The 16,331-nt window shown below is 33.5% G+C and overlaps 1 protein-coding gene across 21 annotated transcripts in view, besides 1 other annotated feature; it reads right to left on the bottom strand.

Annotated features, from left to right (window-relative positions):
• The window catches only part of NAALADL2 (N-acetylated alpha-linked acidic dipeptidase like 2), a 1,369,567-nt gene that overhangs the window by 104,869 nt on the left and 1,248,367 nt on the right, over window positions 1-16,331 (bottom strand). The gene's annotated exons all lie outside the window — the stretch shown is intronic.
• Window positions 1,779-1,948: an enhancer, noted in NCBI's record as "experimental_66754 CRE fragment used in MPRA reporter constructs". NCBI's record gives its function as "activates a minimal promoter by MPRAs in K562 erythroleukemia cells, with activity observed for both the introgressed and non-introgressed 3:175421605 variant alleles {active_cell/tissue: K562}" and the evidence as "EXISTENCE:reporter gene assay evidence [ECO:0000049][PMID:34662402]".

The following is a 16,331-nucleotide window of genomic DNA, read 5'->3' as shown; positions in this document are numbered from 1 at the left end:
ATTTAACTCACAAAATGGTTGTGAGGATTCAAATAATATAGTATACAAAATACCTATAAAATATAACATATAAAATAATCTGTAGCTCACAGAAGACACCCAATCAGTGTTAGTTTTTTTTTTTTCTTCTTCTTTCTTCTCTTTCTCCTCACCTCCAACTTCTTTAGGATGAGAAAAGCAACAATATACATTCAGGAAAATACTTGTTTGTGAGGTAATTGGGACACCTCTCAAAGGAGCTCTGTCTAAAAGATCCCTTTAGCACATACCATACTGAAATCTAATTTCTTGAATCTAAATTAGGGATTTAATACTTTGATTAAAAAAAATCCAACTAGTCATATATTGCAGCAGAAAGCAAGCACGATGGGTTTTAGGAGAAGATCTGGTCTTGACTTTGAGCTCTTGCTGTTTATTTCCTATGTCGTTTTTTACTCTATGGACCTCATTTTCCTCTTCTGTGAAATGAGGATAAAATGAACCCTACAGCTGGAAGGTTGATGTGAGGTCCTCTCCTTATTCCATCGCCTTTCTTCTTTCCAGCCATCTCTCCTACTCTTCCTCTCTCCAGCAATGCCACAGTTCTCCACTACTGTGGTTCCTGAGCAAATGTCTCTGAAAATGTTGTGCTCTCCATCTGGGATGTCTTTCCATACAAGGCTCCGATTCATTTTTCAAATGTAGGGGCAAATATTCCTCATGTGAATGATGGTTTTAGCACCAACTTTCTGAGGTAGAATTGCTCATCCTTTCTTTGTTACCACAGTAATGTGTGCACGATGCTTTCACATGTTTCATCATACTTACATGAAACTTTTAGTTCCTCACAGACCCTGGACTTCAAAGACAGATTCTAGGGCTGACTCAGCTTTGATACCTTGATACCAAGTGAAGCATTAGCGCAGAAACAGCTGTGCAAATAAGACATGGGGAAATATGAATATGCTTGAGAATCTTTAAAGTCACCAAAATATCCAATTTTAAAGATTTGGAGAAACAAAGGTATAGATCAATGAAGAGCATATGTTTGTATGTGGAAAGACTCTGTATCGAGAGTCGGTGGGTAGAGAGGACATACCTGGGGTTTAGATGAACCAAAGAGGCATGACCAAGTAAAGGAATTCAGAGGGCAAAGAGAAAATGAAACAAAACAAAACTTTACTTAGCTTCCTGGTTCATATTTTTATTGTGCTGGCAAAAGACTATCTGTCAAAAAATGTATTTCACATCTATTTTTCTGTCGTAAAAATAAGTAAAGTGGCTCTAAGAAAAGGGGTTTGTGCAGAAGTATTATATGTATGGCTTTGAAGTAGCTGTTACTGAAACTCATAAAATAGGAATAAACATTACAGATTATATATTCCAGGGCTTTCCACGTTTGTACTGAATGACAGAGGAAAAAGGAAGCCTCTTTTCCACAGCGAACAGCCCCACTTTCTACTAATAATAGCTAATATTTATGCAGTATTTATTTAGTGTATTGCAAGCACAGTACTAAGGTTCTTTCATATATTAGCTATTTTCATACTCAGATTGTATTTTATAACAGACCAGAAGAATTTCAGAGAGTCTTAGGGAGAAGACATTTGGAAAAAGAGGAAAGAAAGTTTTTCCTCGCAGAGCCACTAGTCATCAAAATTATCTTTTCTTAAGCCAAGAATCCATACCCATTTACTTTGATTTTTCAGTTACAACAGGATCATAATCTCATTAAGGGCTGGACCTGAACTTCCAAAGGAAACTCAGGAGTCAATTAAGTGTTTAGCTTAACCCCTGTCATAATAGTCAATATGAACGAATGCATTTTAAGAAAACTGATATAAAAATAAATTCATCATGTCAAAGAGATGAAAAAGGAAAATGAATGCAATTTGATTTGGTTAGCTCACAGTTAACAACTTAGGTTAAGTTTTGTTTATTTATTTATTTATTTTTTTGAGATGGAGTCTCGCTCTGTCACTTAGGCTGGAATGCAGTGGCACGATCTCAGCTCACTGCAACCTCTGCCTCCCAGGTTCAAGCGATTCTCCTGCCTCAGCCTCCCGAGTAGCTGGGATTACAGGTGCCTGCCACCGCTCCTGACTAATTTTTGTGTTTTTAGTAGAGATGGGGTTTCACCATGTTGGTCAGGCTGGTCTCGAACTCCTGACCTCAGGTGATCCGCCCGCCTCGGCCTCCCAAAGTGCTGGGATTACAGGCATGAGCCACCATGCCCGGCCAACTTAGATTAAGTTTTAAGGAAACGAAGGTACTTAACGAAAACATTAATTATAGTACATGTATTGGGGACTGTCCAGTCTCTCCTCAGACTAGTAAAAAATGCCAAATTTGTCAGACTTATAGCACCTTGGGGAATCCCTAGACAGTTTGATAGACTTCCTGAAGTATTTTATAATTACTCTGCTTGTTCCCAAGGTTTAATGATTCACTTGCAACAGAAATTTCTCTCTACTTAAAAAAGAAAAATCTGTTCACAAGCTGGAAAAATCAAGAATGCCTGATATTTAGAGTTATTTATGAGAGAAATTCTATGAGTGCCAGTGAGTTTTAATTGTTATTCTAACCCCAGATGAGATCTCCAGTGGAATGTTTTCTAAGCTTTCAGATGATGTGTCAATGATGAGACTACATTTAATTAAAGCAAGTTATACAGCAGGTAAAACACAGTAAGGAAATTACATAGGATATTTTGTAGCACATTGGTGGAATTCTCATCCTTATCTAGTTATGAGAAACATCTCACTCTACTCTCCTTTTTTTTTTCTTTTCCTCAAGTGCATTTCTTTTCTGATTTAAATATATGATCTAAGGATCTATTCTTTTGACCCATACCACTATTTTCTTCCAAATATTTTTTTGCTGACAATTTAATACACTAATATATCTTTCCCAAGTAGAGGGGATTCTTAGAGTATATGAAATAGACAGAAATGAAGATGTTCCTTTTCCTTATTTAGATCCATTGGAAGAAAAGTTTTATTCTTAGCAGCAGTTGAATTCTAAAGTTAGGGACATTTTGATAACTTACATCAGGATCTGGCATGGGATGAAAAACAAATTATGCTTTGTGTCTTACAATGGACTATAACTGAGAAGCAAAGGTTGACTTTATTGGACATTTTCAATATAGTGCTATTTTTCTTTTTATTTAAGCATACTTTGTTATTTGGTAACTTTGTAGGCAGTGATTCTTTTTTAGTTTTTTTTTCTGTCTTCCCTAAAGCCTAGTAAGTCTCCCACAGTAAATTCTCTTTTAAGATGTTTTGATTAAATGACTTGGTAAGGAAAATAAAATTATCATTTTTAGGAGAACTTACTTTTGAAGAAGAACCTGTTAATAACATTAACTTTATATTACAGATTCACCAGTGAAAATTCCTTTTATAAATATGCAGACAGATTTTCAGTTTTGAATAAAAGCTTTCTTAGTGCATTGTGACGTGCAGAGAGAGAACAACAAATCTTTGGCTCCAGACCTCTATAAACTACTAGAACAGAATTACAGATTAACTTTGTGTTTCTTTTTGAGTGCCATTTTATAACGCCATGTGTTATCTTGTTAAATGTTAGAACTAGCATATTTGACATATTCATAAATTTTCTGAAGAAAAAAAACAGAGGAAAGTAAATAAATATTGGAGTTGAATAGTCTGATAAATTTTGCTGAAAATATTAGCTCTTATGGGAGCTAAAGTTCATTATTCAGGAAATTAAAATTTGGATAAATTAGTGTCAGTGTGGTTTTCATCCAGTTTCTAAAAACAGAGGCACATAATACAATTGATAAATATGCAATTCGCAACAAAAAGACAGAAAAATGGAATGCAGTGTTAATATTACCTAAATAGAGAAGTTAATTCAATTACAATAATGCCATCCTGTTGAATACATTCTTTGAAATATGAAACACAAATGGAGATATTACTTACTATAAAAATTGGCCTTTGGAAGTCATTTTTGTTTCTTTTTTACAAACAAGCACAGTCATGATATGAATATTGTGGTTTATTATAGAGCTGCACTGGTGTCAGCTTCTGCTGCTGTTTCATTCTGCTTGATACGTTTAACATGGTAAAATCATAGCCAACTAGCCTACTGGCGTGCAGTTTTCACTCCTGTGCCCACAAGTGCGATAATTAACGGAAGGCATGCCATTTTTTGGTAAATACGTGTTTGAAATCCAAATATTAATACACGCACACATAGGCATACCAGAGACCTGGGTCTATCGTGAGACACTGAATATACAAATTGACGATGGCCAGATCCCATATAAAAGTAGAAATCTAATTTACAATCTGCAATGATCAGTTAAAAAAGCCAAACCAAAACTTTAAGCAATCAACTGAAAACAGCCAGACTTGATCAATAACTGATAGCTTCTTTAATTTTCACCCCCACTTTCTACACAAGACCAACCAGGAAAAGCCAAATATGCTCCCCTAACCTACATAGGGTGCCTCACTTCTTGTTAGCCCACCTCCAGCTTCCCCAACCCTACAGCCTCCAATGAGCGCAGACCTGAAATCTTCTCCTTCTGCACTGTAAACCTAATGCACGTTTCTGCCTGCCTTTGATTTTCTGCCAAATGCAAGTGATGGGGAGTGTCTCCCTTGCTCTAGCAAGCTCTGAATAAGTAGACCTAGGTTGTTGTCATTTGGGTGGTCTTCATTTATCTCCACAGTACCATTTCATTTATCTCCATAGTACCATTTCATTACCAATATTCCCCAGCCTAGAGCATCCTAAAATTTTCTTGATGGTTCCTCTCTAATGCTCCCTTTTGCCTTTCCCTTGCCAAGTGAAATATTACTACTTTAGACTGATGGGATTTTTTTCCATGATAAGTATACATTACATGTGAAAAATAAAAGAATATTGATCAGTTATAATTTAACTTAATATAAAAATACAAACCAGGGTAAGTTTAGAAAGGATGATGAAAAACAGACTTTACATCATTTGCAATTAATTTCCTCAATTAAGAAGTCAGGAGATTTGAGAGACTTTTTAAGTTGCTCTAAAAACCAATGATCCCATACTTTCTTTTCACATTTTCATACAGCCTCCTGTAAGCAACTTCAGGTAGTAAAAGCTCTTGCTTTAAAAAAATGTCATATATATTGCAAATCACATATTCATTGCAAAGAGCAACAAGATCTTCAATACGTATCATCAGATTCTTCCATTTCAGAAAAGGCAGTTACCTTTGTCAGAACAGCTTTGGTAACTCTCTTCCTAACAGAACACCTCTGTCTTTTAATTAAATTTGCTGCAGTAGCCTTTTTTCTCTGAATATATAAGGTTTTATCATCTTATATCTTATTCATGGACAAAAAAGTTTCCTAAGCTTTTGAAAAACTCATATCCTATCAGCCTCATGACAATATTGATCCTCAATTTATTCCAATCAACGGCCTCAACTGAAGCTGGGGGAAAACATAGCACTTAGCATTGTTCAAAAGCCAGTCTTACTTTTACACACAGCTAAGATAAGTTTGCATAAACACAATCCAATGTATAATATTTACAATCAAACAAGGCCTTTACAGATACTTTAACGTCTGCTCTCAAAAGAGCACTGTAGTACACAGTTGATTGCAAATATAAGGGAAGTAAATACTTCTGGATGCAGAAAATTAATATGACAAGTTTTACCTTTAAAAGCAAAACCCTAAAAATACAGCTTGGAAGTCATAAAAGTTTACCATCTCTGGTATTCTAACTGGACTACAGAAAATGCCCTTGGACTTTCTGCCACATCTTTGAATCTCCTGTCCTCTGACATTACAAGTATAATATTGTTTAAAATGTCTTGAAACTTAGTATTAAAGGATTTGGCATTTATCAATTATTTAAGAGGACCTATTACAATAATGACTATGCTGAGAAAGAATCCTATGATAAGCACTATAGCATATAAAAATATCTTTCTAATTGTCACTCAGTGGCACTCAATAAATATACTGATTTGTATGTGTGTTCTAATTCTGTACTTAATTTTTCTAGTTTCATAAAAGGTAAACAGTGGGTGTTTAATTAATACTTGTTCAATATATCTTATCTGTGATAGACCTAAGTTGAGAAAATAATCGGAGAAGTGAATTTCTCACCTCTCAAGTAACTGAGGGGTAGAGGGCTAGTGTGGTAGAAGCACCTCCTGGAATATCAATGGGAGGCTCCAGACATTTTCTTGAATGCAGAGTTAATGTCCTATATTCCTCCTTGAGAAACATCAAGTTAAGATCTAGTGCATGTTTCATGTATGTTAGCAAACTTAAGACAGAGGACTACTCAAGAAAACAGCATAGTTCTTTATTCTTAATCTCTTGTTGCCTGTCATCTATATGGATAATAGGAAAACAAACAAAAGACTCAATTAATTATAATAATTATATATATGTAGTGCTTTGTATTAAGATTTATGGTTCTCAACATTATTTTTGTGGATCTTCTATTTTTCCTGAGCTTATAAACTAATGGATTCAAATAAGGTATTGCCAGCAAAAATTTGCTCAGCTGAAGCTTGGACACTGCCACAGAATTCCTTCCTTTATATAACCTACTTTTAATCACATAGTTAGAAATATATTATTTTTAAAAATTAAATATGTAAAGGAAAAGTACTTTGGGCCAAACTTTGGAGTGCATCTGTAGGACAGTATTGGTTTACAGAACCAGACACTTTAGAGTCTAACTATTCAAAGTTTGAGCTTACTGTGTTGTTGTATATTACTGAATTAGTGCTAGATAGTTTTATGTGTGCTTAGCACTCTTCTTAGCATTTGGATTTCTATCATGCTGTAGGATAGTATGTATTTGAAATAATGTTCAAATAAATGGGATCTGAGTGCTTTATGGTCTTTGAGATCAAATATTATTTCACTGAATTCTCTATGCTTACAAAGATTATAAAGCTGGAGGTAATTGTATTAATGTGGCTAAATGGTTATAATGTCTTTAACTTAAATAACTGTAACTTGTGGCACATGACACGAATTCTTCTAAATTCTACTTATTTATTAAATTTGTCTATTCTTAATGTATAATATCAAAAAGGTGGGCTGTATTGAACTCTTTAATGATATAACAGTCTTACTCTTTCCAGGCACCAGTCATCAAAATCAAAATCAATCTTCCTGCACTCTATGTACATAGGAATTTGCTTGGAGATTTTATATATATATATATATATAAATATATATACACACATATATACACATATATGTATACATACATAAATATATACACATACATATGTATACATACATAAATACACATACATATGTATACATACATAAATACACATACATATATACACATACATAAATACACATACATATATACACATACATAAATACACATACATATATACACATATATATGTATACATACATATATACACATATATATGTATACATACATATATACACATATATATGTATACATACATATATACACATATATATGTATACATACATATATACACATATATATGTATACATACATATATACACATATATATGTATACATACATATATACACATATATATGTATACATACATATATACACATATATATGTATACATACATATATACACATATATATGTATACATACATATATACACATATATATGTATACATACATATATACACATATATATGTATACATACATATATACACATATATATGTATACATACATATATACACATATATATGTATACATACATATATACACATATATATGTATACATACATATATACACATATATATGTATACATACATATATACACATATATATGTATACATACATATATACACATATATATGTATACATAAATACACATATATATGTATACATACATAAATATATATACATATATACACACACATATATATGTATATATGTATACATACATTTACATGTGTGTGTATGTAAATATATAAATTTGCTTTTTTAATAAATAATAATAAATTTAATAATAAGTCAGTTGAACACTTAACTTTGGGACAATCATAATGTATGAGATTATGAGATTAAATAGTGGACAGGTTAACTTTGGCATCACATCTTACTTTCATTTTCAGAGTTATCCCATAACTCTAACTCAACTTCTACATCTAAAATCAAAAGTAACAATACACCCTCATAAGTAGGGTTTTGTCAGAGTTATCCCATAACTCTAACTCAACTACTACACCTAAAATCAAAAGTAACAATACACCCTCATAAGTAGGGTTTTGTGTGTGTGTGTGTGTGTGTGTGTGTGTGTGTCTGTGTGCAGCTTTAGCACTAGCACATTATAAGTAGTTGTTCAACAGAAAAGGGGTAGTAAGGCCTACACATAAAAGACACATTGTGTGAAAACAGGATTCTCTGTATTCTCCCCTAAGGCATGAGAAGAATCACATCTATTAGTATTCTACTGCTCCTATATTCCAGCTGCAGGAGCTCAAGATGGCAGGCAAAGTTATACGCTACCTCTAGAGACCAGTTTAAATTTCACCATAAAATCTAAATTCTGAGGCTTTCTTGCTTGATGTTGGCTTCAGATTGATTGACATATCCAAAATGCTCCTAGACAGGTTAAAATTCCATAGTGGGTGCTAAGATTTGAATGCCTCCTCCAAACTCATGCTGAAATTTAATTGCCATTGTAACAGTATTCTTAGGTAGGGCTTTTGAGTAGTCATTAGGTCATGAGTGTGCCACCCTCATGAATGAATTAATGCCATTATTGCAGAAGTGGGTTAGTAAGGAGTTGGCTCCTAATAAGAGAATGAATGTTGCCCCTACTTTCTCTCTGCCTTTTGTGATTGCTCACCATGTGATGCCTTCTGCCATGGATGAGCCTTTCCAGACATTGGTGCCATGTTCTTGGACTTCCCAGCTGCCAGAACTGTGAGCCAAATAAACTTCTTTTCTTTATAAATTACCTGGTCTGTGGTATTCTATCATAGCAGCAGAAAATTAAGACAGTAAGTCGTCATCTTAAATGAGTGTCTTGAACCAAGAATCTTTTCACTTATCTCCAATTTTTCTCCTTGATGTCCCTTAGAGTGGAGGGAAATAATCTTTCACATCTCACAAACACATCCTATGTGTTTGCATCTGTATATCCTACAATAAAGGGCCATGAAAAAAAAGTGTTTGCATCTCTGGACTTTTGATCACTTAATATTTCCTCTATGTGGAGTGTCAATCATCTCAGTTGTTCCCTACATCTTTTCTCTCAAGCCCTGGCTAAAAGGACTTCCAAATGATCCCCCAAGCTGGAAGGAAAAGAAATCTTTCTCTCCTGAAGTTTCATTTGTTTACATTTCTTTCATAACACTACTTTATTTCTCACTATATTATAGTTTGCCATGTATGCTTCATCTTTCTTCATGGTTACTAACTAGCTCAAGGGAAGGCCTATGTCTGGCTCATTTTTATCTTTCATAGCATCAAGCAGAATACTCTGTATGTGCTAGATGAGCACTAATGTATATTACATAAACGTTTTTGAATAAGAAATTTTTTTTGTGAACACAAGTCAAATTAATTTTCTGAAGGTGTTGAAATTAATCTGAATATTTGTCACTCTTGCTATAAAAATTAATGGCCAATCTAGAAAATATTTCACCACAGTTTTCTTTCAGAGACAGGTTTACAAAGATCAAGATCAAGGAATAACAAAAGCAGCACAATGCCATTTGTTTTCTATTTTGCATACCCAGTGAGATGGCGAGCTATCAGCTTCATCCTTTTCTAAAATTTTTTAAGTAGACATTGTATTGCCATTTTAATCTAATAAGCACGCCCAGGCTAATTATTACTGATAAACCGTATCACCATCTAGAGTTTTGAGTACTATATATTATTAAGTTTAATGGTTACAAATTTGAAACATATAGTTGTTTATTCCTCAGAGGATATTCTCCAAAATATCTCCTGTACTTTGAAATCTATGTTTGGAAGCATTATGCCATTTTAAGGAAATATTTTTTTAATTTATTTCTACTATTTTTTAGTACTGTTATCTGAAAAGGATGGTTGCTGCTCATTATAGTAGCCTTGATACTAAAAGAACAAATAGTACTAAATGGACCTATACAGATAAAGAGAGTGATAAGTGTGCCTACAAAAGCTCAGCATATTTCACTAGGCAAAGAATGCAGTACATTTTTCCAGCAAGTGTTCTTTTAAACCTCACTATGAACATTACTACAACAGACGTTGGAAAAATAAACTTTAGCAACAGAATTGTGATGTGGCATCTACAGTTTGAGAATATTCTGATGGAAGGAGTAGAATATTTCACTAGGCAAAGAATGCAGTACATTTTTCCAACAAGTGTCCTTTTAAACTTCACTATGAACATTACTACAACAGACATTGGAAAAATAAACTTTAGCAACTTAATTGTGATGTGGCATCTACAGTTTGAGAATATTCTGATGGAAGGAGTAGAAAAACAGAAAAGTCCCTATTCTATGCCTGAAAGAATCTTGTTGGAAACCATGGTTTATGTATAATTAAAAAAGATTACTCTACATAAAATTGCAAGGATGCATTTTATTTAAAAAATGCCCAATTATCTCAGGGATTGTTTTTTTTTTTTCAAGCACCTATATGGATCTCTCCTCAAGCACCTCAAATTAGGCAACACAAACATGCAAGGCACAGAAAGTCTAACAGCAGTGAAGTCGAGACTGCTCATTAACAATTGAATACTGAATCTAATTTTGTGTTTATGAATTACATTGTTGAAAGACCCCAAAACCTTCACTGGTACACTGCTGGGAAAGGTCTATCATTGGATTAAATAACTCATTTACCTGAATTTCTGTTTCCATATTCTTAAAAATCTGATAGTTGAACAGGGAGACTGAAGAGGATTACTTTTATTAAATACTGATAAAGGACAAAGGAGTCAGAGATAATAGCAAATGAGCATCCCTAAAGTCAGAATTTTACTTTTTGTTTTTCTACGGACATCTCATAGAGGTGCCTTATATGTTATTTTCCCTTAGCAATGCTGGTTCCTTCCTTATCTCCAGGAACCCATTATAGAATTCAAAGTAGACACACTTAGTCAAAGTATATAGCATTGGAATTCCTGGATATTCATTGCATATGAATGCCCCCAAAATTAATTTTTCCAAGAAAATAACAAGAATGAGCAACCAAAGTCTGTAACTGTATTCTTTTACCACTCTTGTGTCAGTATCTTCACATCAAGGATTCACTACTACTCTCTAGAACATGTTGTTTATATACTCAGTGTGATTTATTTTTTGATTTCTTAGACATGCTTTCATTGTTAGAAATAAAATAATTTCCCTATTTAAAAAGGAAATGCTATTTTTAAAATAAATATTAGGTAAACTCTGCAAGAGGATTAACTTAAACCTTTGTATTCAGTTATGTTTGTTATGTCTGCTGTGTAAGTTTTTGGTAATTTCACCTATTTTAGTAAGCTTTAATAATATCAACTATATAATGTCTATATTGTACCAACCAATATTCTAACCATATTCTGACGTTGTAGAGACAATAGCTGATGCCATAAAAACAAATTAATGCAGTACCAAAACATTACTATACTATGAAGAAATACATAGGCATTTGTAGACATTTTAAAAATCTGTGAGAAACATACATCTATAAATTATTTTGGTAATTTAAAAAAATCAGACTGGCCAGGCACGGTGGCTCATGACTGTAATCCTAGCACTTTGGGAGGCCAAGGCAGATGAATCACTAGGTCAAGAGATCAAGACCATCCTGGCCAACACGGTGAAACGACGTACTAAAAATACAAAAATTAGCTGGGCATGGTGGTGCGTGTCTGTAGTCCAAGCTACTTGGGAGGCTGAGGCAGGAGAATCGCTTGAACCCGGGTCGGGGAGGTTGCAGTGAGCTGAGATTGCACCACTGAACCCCAGCCTGGCGAAAGAGCAAGACTCTGTCAAAACGAACAAACCAACCAACCCAACAAACAAAACTAAATCTGTCACTTTTCTGAGAATTTTTTTTTAATTTCAGAACTCAATGTTTTTATTCTAAATGGAGCTACCTATGATAAGAGTCAAGTCTGACAAAAACATCTTGTCAGTCTCTTCCCTAGCTTCTTAGTTTAAAGAACTAGAACCACAGCACTGCCCAGCATGTAGTAAAAAGAATTTAACTTTACCTAAAGAGATGTCTGCCCTTTGTCCTTGGGTCCTGGTCAGTAATATCTAAGCCCTTGTAATGTCACATCTGAAAGGACTGTCTTTGTTTGCCTGAGTGCATTGGGTTACTCCAGCTTGTGTATCAATGTGATTTGGGGTGGAATTTAGCCATATCAAATAAATTAATAACACAATTTAGTGTAGGGGAATTTAGGCCACTGTAATAGATGAACCTCTGGAGGGACTGGAGATGGAGTTCAACCACAATGGCAGTAAACTGTGTCTGTGTGATGGGGCCCCCATAAAATCTCTGGACACTAAAGCTTGGATGAATTTCCCTGTCAACACTCCAAGTGCGGTCTCACACATCACTGTTGGGGAAAAATAGCACTGTACATTATTGCAATGGGTGAGAAAATCTAGAAGACCATGCTTCCAAATTTCCTGGACTCTGTTTCATCATCTATTCCCTTGGCTGATTTTAATCTGTATCCTTTCACTGTAATAAACTGAAACTCTGAGCTTTACAGCTTTTAATGAGTTCTGTGAGTTGTAGCAAATTATGGAATATGAGGTTGGTCTTGGGACTCCTAGACTTATAATTGATATCAGAGTAATTATGGGTCTTGTGGACAGCTCCTTGAATTTATACCCCTCTCCAAAAATAAACTGACTTCAACATGAGTTGTTAGCTAAGACTGATGGAAAAAAAATCAGAAATGAAGGGAACATCATAGTTTTGTTTCCACAGTTCAATGAGAGCACGGAGAACTTATTTTCACTTTTACACTTTATCTTCAAGTTCTCAGCTGCACCCTAAGCTTGACTTCTCTTTGTGGCCATGAAGTGGATGAAAACTTCACAGTACAATTCCACAAAGTCTTATTTTCCACCACTGATTTCCAAACAGAAATAAAAATATGACTGTTTCCACCTAGGATATCTACTTTTCTTCCGGAGAAAAAGAAAATCACTATGGCTAGGATAATGCCATGTCCTGACTAGTTTCAGCCAACTAGATCTGTGGCTAAAAATAAGTGTAAGATCAATCTGTGGAAACTCCAGAATTGCCACACAATGGGTGAGGGCTAGAATGAATACTGGAGACATGACCACAATGTCCACTACAGAATCCCATTGTTTATCAAAATCTCCTTCGTGCACACAGGTAGTCAGTATTTATTCTAGTAAATTACCACTTCCAGATCCAAGCTCTATATCATTCTCAAGATGCAATTATGAACTAACTATGAATAATTATGAATTAATTAAGCATGATTTATAGTTTTAAGAAAATTGGCAAAAAAAAAGTGAAAACAAGAGAAATCCCCTATGAACATAGGTAAGTCCCAGAAATCATAGAAATGTAACCAGAAGGAAAAACAAACAACCTACAAACATCATTTTCAGAAGAATTCTGGAAATTAATAAAATTTCAGATTCATATAAGAGGTATACAACTTGAGATCAGGCAAAAGTTACACAAAAGAAAATGAGAAGAGAGCCAGGAAGAGTGATGAAAGACTTTAGCAGCATCATATTCGAGAAAGGAGCAGCAAAATGTAATTCCTGAAGGTGAAAGGTTTACCGTAAAATGCAGAAGCTTTACCCTTTAAAAAGCAGAAAATTCAAATATTGATAAACTGTTTCAGAGCACAAATAAGAAAAACTTTTAAATTATTTTATGACACAAGTTTAATATTGCTCTTAAACCTTAAAAGGTTAAGTTATAAAAATGCAAACCACTGTACTTCATGAATGTTATTAGAAAAATCTTAATATATTAACAAGCAGTTCCATTTTTAATGTGGATATACTAAAGCCATTCACACCAAAATCTGAAATAGGTCAAACGGTGAGTATCAGCATTTTTTAATATATATTTCCTACAGCCATTAGTTTACACAATTAGGAAAGAGATTTAAATTAGTGATGTAAAAATTGACAAGGAAGAGAAAAATAGATGATAAAATTTTAAACCTGGAAAACCCAAAGTCAATTGATAAAATATTACAAACAGTAAGAATTTCAGTAATATCTTTAGGTACCAAATTAATAGTTTCATAAGGCACAAAACTCTCTAAAGACAGAAATTTTTTGTGTGTATACATACACACACACACAAATAAAACAGTGAATCCGAAATTATAATAAAAGCTATGACTACAAAAGCAAAGAAAACATACCTACAGATAAAATTAATAAGAAATGTCCTTTTATAGTAATTGTTTTATCCATCTGTGTGTATATATATATATATTATCTGTGTGTATATATACACACAGAGATAAATATATATACACATACATTTATATATACATATACACATATATATAAAGTTTCTGTCTCTATATAGACTTTTGTTACTTATGAAACTACTAATTTAGTATCTAAAATTATTACGGAAATTCTTACTGTTTATAATATTTTTTCAGTTGATATTGGGTTTTCCAGGTTTAAAACTTTATTATTACAAAGTGATTCAACTACAAGTAATAAAGGTATATTTCATAGGCAACTTGTGGATCAATAATAGACCTTTTCAAAATATGAGGGTTAGGATCTTGAAAAATTACCAACATAGAAGAACTGACAGTAGAGGTATTTAAGATTTTATGGAGAAAATAGAGTTTGAGGACTGTGTAATGAACAAATCCATAAAAAGTATTATCACTATTTTTACACTAAAACAATAAAGACAGCTTGTTTAATACAATGCTATGACACTTTCATACACCTTAAATTATTAATGTAATTAATTATCATGTATCATCCTTCAATTGCCAGAAAATTTGGTTAATCTCCTCCCTCTAAATTCTAAAGGTTCCTAAACACTCATTTTCTGAAGATTCAGAGAATGTGGGTATTAAGACACTGCCCTCAATGCTCCTACCCTATGGCTGGAATTTAACTCTCTATCTAATTGTTCATGACCCTTCTGATTTTATGACTCAGGAATATTGAATCCTGTCTCTTAGACCCTATCATAATCCAGGAAACAAAGTAATCTGAATGACTGAGATGAAACAAAACACAAAAGCAGAAACAATAAAATTTGGAGTGATCTTAAATTAACATCTTTATCAGAGCCAACAGATTTTTCTCATGTTTGCCTTATGATAGTATCATCATGTGGCTGTACTACATATCTTCTGACCCTCTTACGATGTGTTTCATTTCTCTCCTCTCTTAACAGATGTGAGAATACAGTACAAAGGCCCTGAATATTATTTCTCCAGTGCCTTTTTATCTCTCTAAAGGCACACTAGTCCTGCTCTGTATGTGTTTCACCTCTTATAGTCACACCTACATTTTTAATTTGGCCCAATATGAACGGCCCACAAGTCATAGAAGGAAATCTGGAATAAAAACTCTCCCAGGTGGCATGAAAGATTGCAGAATCAAACTTTCTCTATATATTTATATAGTCAATATATCTATACTCTCTATATGTTTTGTGTACATACTAATTGTCTTCCTAAGCATAATTTTCAGTGCAGGAAGTATTATGAAAGCTCCGTGGTTTTCTGAAGGGCATTTCAGTATATTTGCTTAATAATGTAATTAAATGCAGTTGGTAATAATTCCAAAGTTGGAATTTAGTGTTGAAAAGAGAAAAGGGCATTAAAGAAGAGTGATACTTATTCTTATCCAAGAATACTCTTGGAACGTAGCTAATAATGCCCCCTGGGTAAAAGAGCATCTCAAATTTGCAAGTTCTTTTAGCCTAAAGCTGGTGGACATTTTGAAGAAGTCCAGAGTAAAAAATAAGAATGTTAGAATGACAATTCTCTAAACATCGGAGACCAGTGCAACTCTCCTTACCAAGAAGAAAGGAAACATTTAAGTCAACTTATCCTGTAAATTACATTACGTAAGATGCAGTAGGATTTACTGGGAATGTTTATCGTGGCTGAGGAGGAATACTACTACATTTACCAGATAACCATGTGATAGGTATGGTTTTGACCAACTTTATATTTGAAGTCGTAAGTGAGAATTCAAGCTCCTGGTTAAAACTCAATCTATTATCTTTCATCAATTATAGGAATTATTTGCCAATTTTTGTCTTCCCTTTTTTCTATTATTCTAAAATTCCAATTATATATAGTTGAAGCTTCCTAGCTTATCTAGCATATATCTTAACTCTACTTTCATATTTTAAAAA

This window comes from Homo sapiens, chromosome 3, assembly GCF_000001405.40.
Source record: "Homo sapiens chromosome 3, GRCh38.p14 Primary Assembly".
NCBI classification, from domain to species: Eukaryota; Metazoa; Chordata; class Mammalia; order Primates; family Hominidae; genus Homo; species Homo sapiens.
Note: the sequence above shows the minus strand (reverse complement) of the source record. Positions and strands in the feature narration are given on the sequence as shown.